Source organism: Homo sapiens, chromosome 10, assembly GCF_000001405.40.
Source record: "Homo sapiens chromosome 10, GRCh38.p14 Primary Assembly".
NCBI lineage: Eukaryota > Metazoa > Chordata > Mammalia > Primates > Hominidae > Homo > Homo sapiens.
Window position 1 is genome coordinate 85,172,790 of NC_000010.11, and position 9,917 is coordinate 85,182,706.

The following is a 9,917-nucleotide window of genomic DNA, read 5'->3' on the forward strand; positions in this document are numbered from 1 at the left end:
TAAAATAAATAAAAATAGTAAGTAAATAAAATAAAAAAACAAAGGGATTCACTCCAGCATTGAGTCACGGACATAAACCAAATAGAATGAGAACTGGAGAGAGTACACTGTATTTGATTACTAGTCAATCGTGTATGGAGTTTGTCTGAACCATTTAATGGGGTGTGGGCTCAGGAATCAGGATGTTATGAAGAGTGAATAAAAGGAAACAAATTAAAAGCTGTGAATATAGGCTGAATTACCTAAACTTTCATTGTGGAATGGAAGGAGAGTGCTAGATGGTTGTATAGGTGCCAGATTTAGAATGGAAGAGCTGGAAAAATGTGTTATGGTAGAGATTATATGAATATAAACTGCTAGGGAAGATACAGAGAGTAAAAGCTATTTCAGTGGTGCCCTCTGCAAACTCTGCAGTGATTAAGAGCAGCCCTGTTGGGTGACAGCATTTAATATGTTCTTACAAAGTATGTTTTCCTGTCTTTGTAACCTTTGGCCAACTTTAATTAATTTAGATCTTGAGATAATACTTGACAATTGTGTAAGAAAAATGGGATAAAGTGAAATGCAAATAATCATTCTGCAGCTGATCTGAAATGAAGTGGAAGTGCTTTCTCTTAGACCTCTGTGCCATTTTATTTTGAAATTGTTTTCTTGTACTTATCTTAGAGACAGAGAAGCTATTGTCCAATTGCAGAGCAGTTATAGTGTGTGTCTTTTTGGTCATTTATGGTTATTCTATTTTACATTTGGTTGTCTATTGATTTATATTGAGCCAGAGAAAAGGCCCTGGCTGTGATACCAAATAGATCTGAACTTTAAAACCAGTTTTATTACTTCTTAGATGTATGACCTTGACTAAGAATTAGCCCCTCTAAGACTCAGTTTCCTCAGCTATAATATGGGGGTAGCACCACCTCCCCTTTCTGAGTTAGTAACGATTTGGGTAAGGTAGCCACCATGGTACTTTACTGACAGTGGCTGCTAACTTAGCAAATGGTTAAGTGTTAATACTAAATATAATCCAGAATTCCCAAAGAGACAGTTGATGGGGGAAAAGTGTTTTGCCTCCTCATGGAAAATCACATACTAATTATTATCTTAAATGTTTGGAGAAGTGGGTGATGGAGGCATCTGCCTATGTAATAAACATTTCAAAATTGGCAGGCTGTGCTCTGATGTGAAGAAAAGAGGAAGTTTTATAGATTATTAGTTTAGTTTCCATCTCTTATTTTATTTCCCATTACCTTGTATCCTCCTAGGTAATACATGTGAGTGAGTGTGTGTGTGTGTGTGTGTGTGTGTGTTGTGTAAGGGGGTGTTGGGTGTTAGCAACAAATCTTATTAACAGAAGTTATCTAATTCTCTTCCATTTAAAAAGTCACTGTCAGGTCAGCTCAGTGTTGCTTGATGAACTAATAAATATTTAGTCAAATTCAAGGTTTAAACTCCTTACCAGGGTCGATTTTTCTCCTTTGCTAGAGATTTCCTTCAGGAAGGTGTGAAGGAACCACTGCTTCCCATGAGAGTCCTGTGCCATGCTCCAGTTTCACAAAACCTCTGTGTGATCACCATCACCTTGCCTGGGCACTGGCATCAGGATGGCATCAGCTGCTCAAGGTCATGGCTGTGAAATCCATGACCTATTTTATCTCATAGTTCCTCGGCAGCTCCGTTACTAACTTTTATCCTTACAGTAGCTCTTGCTAGCCCTTCAAAAATCCTTGCATTTAGGTCAAGTCTTCTGTTAGATGACCACTGCCATAAAAACTCCTTTCCTCCTCGTATTGACCCCAGGGAAAACCTATGGGTGTTAATTCTTAGCCTCCTTCCACCTGCATCCTGGAAGCACACAGAACTTTGAATTTCTTCCAAGCTACGTGAATGTAGATAGGTAGCAGGGATGTTGCCACTGGTTCTCTCTCTTCCTAAACACATGCCTAGGCTGCTCCCATGTCATGTTTTGGGCCTATAGTGAGGGGATCCCCTTCCAAAATTCCAAATACAGCTTTTCTTTCAACCTCCTTGGGTTCTGATATGGTTTGGATCTGTGTCCTTACAAAATCTGAGGTTGAATTATAATCCCCAGTGTTGGAGGTGTGGCCTGGTGGAAGGTGATCAGACTGTGGGGGCAGGTTTGTCATGAATGGTTTAGCACTATTCCCCTTGGTACTGTCCTTACCATGGATAGTGAGTGAGCTCTTGTGAGATCTGGTTGTTTAAAAGTGTATAGCACCTCCCCCTTTGCTCTCTCTCTTGCTCCTACTCCAGCCATGTGAAGTGCTTGCTCCCCTTTTGCCTTTTGCCATGATTGTAAGTTTCCTGAGGCCTCCTTAGAAGCCAAGCAAATGCCAGCACCATGCTTTCTGTGCAGCCTGTAGAACCATGAGTCAATTAAACCTTTTTTCTTTATAAATTACTTGGTCTCAAGCATTTCTTTAGAGCAATGTGAGAGCAGATTAACACCGGGTCTTTGCCCCTCTTCCATCCCCTTCTCCTACATTTTAGCAACTAGAGTGATTCTTGTATCTAATCTCTTGCCTCCTTTAGTTAGCCTCCTTGTCTCATTTCCACCTCCTGGAACCAGAACTTCTCTCCCCTCCATTTCTGATGGGACATACCAAGATATTTATGTCTTATCCTCCTTCCCTCCATTGGGCTTCTATGTTCTAGGATGGCAACTACTTTTTCTCTAAAGCACTAAAAATAGCTTGGTTCAATTGTCAGAAAGCCATTGGGTGTCAGGATTTAAGAAACTGGATAATTTATAATTTTAATTTGATTTTTGATGTTTACTTAACCCAATTTTCCAAAAGTCTATTTATTTATACCATTCCCCCTAAATGTGTATAGTGGTTATTAGGATACTGATTATTGTCTCTCAGCTCCAAACCCATCTTTCTAAACTAAGCTTTGTGATGTTGAGAATGGACTTCTGCAAATCACATTTCTGTTTTAACAACTGCTTCCTGGTAGGATCTTCAAATAGGGGGCACTAGAGGGAGACACAGGGATGGAGGAGAGACAGAGGAGACAGGGAGGCACGCTCCTTATCTGCTTCCTGTGAGCCTTAACCCTGCAATGCTTCTCCACCCTGCCAGGGGAAGTTCCTTCCTGTAGGGGAAGTTCCTTCCTGTAGCAGCTGCTGAAGTCAGTTTGCAGCTTTTCCAACACTTGTAGAACCAACTCTATTCCATCTCTCTCAGAGACACCAGCACCAACCAGACACTACCTGCTTAGAGGATTGGGCCCAGGCCCAAAGGTCCCCTCTTTTGAGCTCAGACACCAGCACCAGCAGTCTGAGTTTCACCTCTGCAGTGTCCCTTCTCCAAAGATTTAAAATTTGAATAATTCCCATTTCTTCCCTTTGTTCCCCAGCTCTAGGGTAGGAACTGCTTACTACGTGTGCTACCTTAATGATGTATAGTTAAAGGCTTTATACCTAATTTACAATTCTGTATGTTAAGTATTCTCTGTAAACATTACAGGTATAATTTCCACCTCCTGATTGAACCCAAGCTGATCTAAACTCCACCAGAATCAGTGTTGTATGAAAGCCATGATGGAATGCACCATTGCATGGTTTGTTGGTAAGGCGGTGAGGCTGGTGATGGGAATGGTGACTGTGGTCACGTATGTCTGTGTGGATGCACCCATCGGCCATGTGTGTTTGGTGAACACACTTGTGCTAAGCAGAGTGATCTCCAGCTCGAGGGGAAGGGGACAGAGGGCCACTGAAGACTCAAATATGCAGGAAAGAAAAATAGGTGTTAAGGCTAAAACAATTTAACATATTCCTGCCAGATTTTTCCCAAATTCAGTATTTACAGCCAACTCAAATTATGGTCCCTGGACCAAAACCATCAGCATCATCTGGGAGCTTGTTAGAAACACAGACTGTCATGCTCCCCGCTAGGTTTGCTAAGTTAGGGTCTTCATGTAACCAGTGATGATTTTATGCACATTAAAGTTAGACAAACTCTGTACTAGAAATGATACATGGATGGGCATGGATGGAACAAGTACTACATCAAGCAAAAATCATATACCTACATTCCATTTCTAATCCCTAACACTCCTGCTTTTCTGGCTCTCTATATCCCCTCAGAAATAGCCTTCGTTACAAAACTTTCTAAAAATTAGAGATGGTGAAAAGGGACATCTTAGGAATCATAGACTTCCTAGGTTAAGCATATTAGACTAAGATGGGGCAGCAATGGAGGAGTCTTTTAGGTGGTGCAATTACTTTAAAAAAGAAAACGGAGACCAGGCACGGTGGCTCATGTCTGTAATCCCAGCACTTTGGAAGGCCGAGGTGGGCAGATCAGGAGGTCAGGAGATTGAGACCATCCTGGCCAACATGGTGAAACCCCTATCTCTACTAAAAATACAAAAAATTAGCTGGGTGTGATGGCACGTGCCTGTAGTCCCAGCTACTCAGGAGGCTGAGACAGGAGAATCACTTGAACCCGGGAGGCAGAGGCTGTAGTGAGCCGAGATCACACCACTGCACTCCAGCCTAGGCAACAGAGCGAGACTTACCTCAAAAAAAAAAAAAAAAAAAAAAAAAGGAAAAGAAAAAGAAAGAAAAAGGAAAAAGATAATTATAAACCACCACATATTCTTCATGGTCTATATCTTTATTCTCTTACTGGGAGAATTAGGGGATAGCAATAGGATACAATTGTTCAGGCTAATAGAAGTGCCTGCTAAAAGAACATGGGTGAGGGGGTAACATACCCTCTTGAGCTGTATCTCAGAGGGGGTTGTCCTACAAGGATCCAAAAGGGATATGTTGCTGCCTAGGGCTGTTCACATACCTGATCCATCAGTGACACGTCGTCATCAAAAGTGACTCCCTATTCAGGAGCTGAAAATGTCCCCACAAAAGAAGATTTAAAGATGGGACTTTAAATGTGTAGAAACAGTAGGTTAAGAATCTGGCTTCTATTTTGAGGTAGAGCCAGGGCAGAGGGGTCATTTACAAACACTGGACTCTCTTATGCTTCCACAAGGTTGGAGACTTGGGATAACCTCTTACTGAGAAATGCTTCTAGACCTGGGAGGCCCAAGTGGGGGGCAGTGAAAAATTAGACACAGGGTGTGTCCCCTGAAATCTTTTTCTGAGAATCACCAGAGGCACAAAGTTCCAAATAAAAAGCTGAGGAAATTTGGATCTCTGCCAAATATTTTGCTGTCTTGCTCTCTGTAACATTGTGGCCTACCAGAAAATTCTGCAGCACAACAGATGTAGAAGATGCAGAGGGAAAGCATATCTTTCACAGTTGCTAAGAAAATAGATCACATTTTTAAAAATATCTGATTTGTGTTCTCGGTAAGATAAAGAAGAGCCGTGAAACAAGAAAATGCCATATAAGGAAGAACAGGTGAGAGAAAAAGGCACCATTTTGAGAAAAAAATAGCATAGCTAAAAATTTTAAAGGCTGACACAAAATATTGAAAGCATTATCAGATTTAAAATTGGCATTGGGGTCAAAAAAGAATAAAATTGATGGTGCAGAAAAATTGAATTAATGTTGAAGGAAATGTTTGAGAAATTATTCCAGAAATCAGAAGAAAAGGCCAAGGCTGATAATAATAGGGAGACAAAGATTTATAGGAAGAGAGGAAGGGACAGAGGGGGAGGGGCAAGGGAGGGAGGGAAGGAGGGTGAGAAGAGAAAATGTGTGAAAAAGACAAGAATTTTGAGCTGAATAAAAGAAAATCCCAGACTAAAAGAAGCATCAGTCATCAATAAGGACAAGGTTGATTGTTTAATACCTGGTGCTTCAATAATTGGTGATGAACTACATCTCACCTCATACAATACCTCAAAATAAATCTTATGGATATAATGTAAAACAAATTACATAAAATAATTTAATAAACTCGAAGTAAGTATTTACTAACTTGATGCATGGAGGAGATTATTTTGGTCTTAGAAGCAATGAAAAAAATCTCAATAAAAAGCTGGGCAGATATGAGGAATTTAAAATTAAAGAGTAATGCAGGCTAGGCGCGGTGGCTGAAGCCTGTAATCCCAGCACTTTGGGAGGCCGAGGCGGGCAGATCACCTGAGGTCAGGAGTTCAAGACCAACCTTACTAACATGGGGAAACCCTATCTCTATTAAAAATACAAAAATTAGCTGGGCATGGTGATACATGCCTGTAATCCCAGCTACTCGGGAGACTGATGCAGGAGAATTGCTTGAACCCAGGAGGTGGAGGTTGTGGTGAGCCAAGATCGTGCCATTGCACTCCAGCCTGGGCAACAAGAGCAAACTCTGTCTCAAAAGAAAAAAAAAAAAAAGAAGCCAAAAATCAATAATGGAATAGTGTTTCAGTAAATACAACAATGAGCCCGCAAGTGTCCTTCCCAAGTGAATTTGGTCAACCAAGGAAGGGAGTGAGAACCAGGATCCAGACTCCTGACTGCCATTTCCAGCTGGAGAAACTAGACAGTGTGCACTGACCATGAAGAAACCAGAACCACTGGAGGTCATTCTATGCCACATGCATGGACTCAAGATAAAAAGTGCTATGGTTGAACACTGCAACATTTAATCATTCTCCTACAAGGAACTGACTTATGCAGCTACTAGTGTATTTATTACAATGACCTTAAAATCAATGTGGTTGTTGAACTATGATGCCTACTTTGTTGACCATATTGGTACGGAAATTTACCAAAACTCAGATTGCCTCCTGAAGGAAATGAAGAACTAAATATAGGAGAAAACTAGCTTGAGATAAGACAGAGAGACTCAAAAGGCAAGTAGACCCCTGCCAATTGTAATTTGTCCTGAAATCTACGTCTAATACAGACTAAGAGGAAAGGACTTGTGAGACTAGATGCTTTTTCTCTTTTTTCTTTCTTGGAATATACAGCTTTTATTTTTCTCTACATTTCCTCTTCTCTTTCTCTTCTTTGTCCGTTGCTTATCTTTTCTCATTTTCCCTTTTCCCTTTCTGAGTAAAATGATTGCCCATAGGCGTTGTAATGAGACAGAATCCCCTAACCCCCATGCAGTCAGTTCAGCCACTGTTGACTTCGAAACCCTAGATACATTATTTATGAGTCACAGTTTTCTCTTTTGTGAAATAGAGACAAGAATATCTAGCTTCCAGGATTTTACAAGGATTAAATGAAATAATGCATGTAAAGTTCTTGGCAGACTAGGAGCTCAGGAAATAATGGTTCCCTTTTCCTTTATACTGCTTCTCCCTCTCAAGTTCTCTATTAGGCTGAGCATTTCTGAGGGTCTCAGGCTAGACAATCCATAAAGCTCTACTTGCCAAAAGACAATCTGTCAAATGTCTAGTTACCTTTCAGCAGCAAGGAATAGAGGATAAGATCAGAGTAACTTTACACTGGTATCTGATGTAGTTTGGATGTATGTGTTCACCCAAATCTCATGTTGAAATGTAATCCCCAATTTTGAAGTTGGGGCTTTGTAGGAGGTGAGTGGATCATGGGGATGAATTTCTCATGAATGGTTTAGCACCATCCTTCTTGGTACTGTCCTTGCTATACTGAGTGAAATCTCCTGAGATCTGTTTGTTTAAAAGTGGGTAGCTCCTACCCACTCTGGTTCTTGCTCCTTCTCTGGCCATGTGATATGCCTGCTCCCACTTTACTTTCTGCTATGATTGGAAGCTTCTTGAGACCTCCCCAGAAGCAGATGCCACCACCTTTCCTGTACAGCCTGCAGAACCATGAGCCAATTAAACCTCTTTCCTTTATAAATTACTCGTCTCAGGTATTTCTTCATAGCAATATGAGGATAGCCTAATACAGTCTCCTACCCCCAAACACCACCACCTTTCCTGCTCTCTCACCCAACTCCCAAGATCTCACCTCCCCATACCCAGTTTACTGTGATCTTATCAGTTTAACTTCATTAGGCTGGAGATGGTCAGAGTGTGAAGTACTCCAGATTAAGAGGATTCCAACACATAGACTGTCTGAGAAAGAGACTGCTCAACAATATTTACAAAGAGTCAAGGGCTAATTTTTTCAAACTTTGTGTATGAATGTTGCCTAGGGAGTCTACCAGAAATAACAGTCACTTCTTTCTTCATAGCTGTCCAGATCAGTGGTTCTTTCTTTCCTTCTAAGATAGGCAATAATGATATATTCTCCTCCTTCCAGATACCTCTGGAAATAGGAGATGGGCTAGATTTCCGCATCTAATGTCCTAGCTTCCTTTCACTGGGAGAAATTACCGTATCATTCTGATCAGGTTGGAAGTTTGACTGTGCTGATGCGCACTGGTGCAGAGACCAGGGGGCCTAATGTCAAGTTGTAATAGGTTTTTTTCTTGCTGTTAACCTGCTTGACAAATAGGGGATAGGGAGGCAAACCTAAGCTAAAAACAAAATAAGAGCACATTTCCATAAATAATAGAAAACATATAAATGGGCATTTATTATTCAGCTCAAGTACTGATTGAGCACCTACTAAGACCTGCTAAGATCTAGAAGGATGAAGACTAACGAAACACAATTATGGTATCAAAAAACTCACTCTCTAGCAGGAAAGACACCTGTGTAAATAAATAAGTACAGCTTAGTTATTTAATAGTATGCTGTGATAGACATTGTTGTGATAGAAGTCTGAGGGGTACCACTGTGGCATGTTGGAAGAGGCATCAGTTGGGGCGAGGGGCTAACTCCTGTGGTCCTCTTGAGTGGCTTTGCTGCAGTTCCTTGCATGTTCCACATTGTGTCCCTGAGACCCCATGTTAAATATCAGGGCTTTCTCACTGCTGCTAAAACACCTACCTAGACACCATTTGGCCTTTCAGAATCTTGATAAGTTCTCGTATAGTATCTTATTCAACCGGACTACAATTTCAATTACATCTTCTGAGAAAGATGTATTGAATCCAATTTAGGAGAAATGCTGAAATCAGCTTCATAGAATCCAAAATATGTTATCCTTCTTCTAACTCCCACACTGAAGTCCCTAGTAGACTGCCCAGAGTGGGTGGAATCCACAAATCATTCAGGGAGAAGCGGCATCAAGGCAATTGGGAGACATCGGCCTCACAAAAGCAGCTCATCTTGTCACTGCTGGGCCGTCTTATTAAATGGCCACAAAAATATACAGTAGGAATCAAAGAAAAGTAAGGGCTGACTGACCTGGGCTATTTGCCCTCACTTTCAGGCCCCTGTCTTCTGAATTCTCTTTTCACTCTTTTCCAAGAAATTGTCTGATTTATGAATTTTCAAAGGGTGTTTGTGTCAGCTTTTCCTGTGCAGCACATCTCACCATTGGGTGAAATGCTTCGGAGTGAATTCCAATAAAGGAAGAGTTTTAGTGCCTTTAACCTTGCCATGGTCAATTACATTTGAATTAGAACTGTAGAGTAAAAATCTGCAGAGGAGCAGCCGTCGGTTAATGCACACAGTTTGGCATTTTGTGCTTCAGAACACTTGCACACAAACACACTACAGAGGGAAAAATAGTTTCCTTAGTAACAATTTGAAGACTTTGGAACCACATTTGGATAGAGAGAAGTCACTTGATCTTCAGCTTTGAATGTTAGACAACAAATTTCCATATTGCCATGCAAACTGACTCAGCAGGCAAAAAGCTCTCTCTTGTGCTAAGGAATGCGAGCAGTCCTGCCCTTACCCCCCATTTCTGGAAGCTAAATTAATGAGCAGGCTTCTGCAGTTTTAAAATAAGAGTGCCTTCAATTCTGGCCTAAAAAGACCCAATGCATATGACTGCTTCTCAATGAGAGGGTAACTTAACAAAATTGAAGTTCAAGGAGATAGAAGAGAGTCACTACTGTCTACAGGTAAATGTGTTAAACGTGCTTAGATACTCAAAAGGTAATTAGCATGTAAATTGAATTCTGAAGAGGTGAACACAAATAGTCGTGTCACTAAGGACCTATCTATAGTGGAT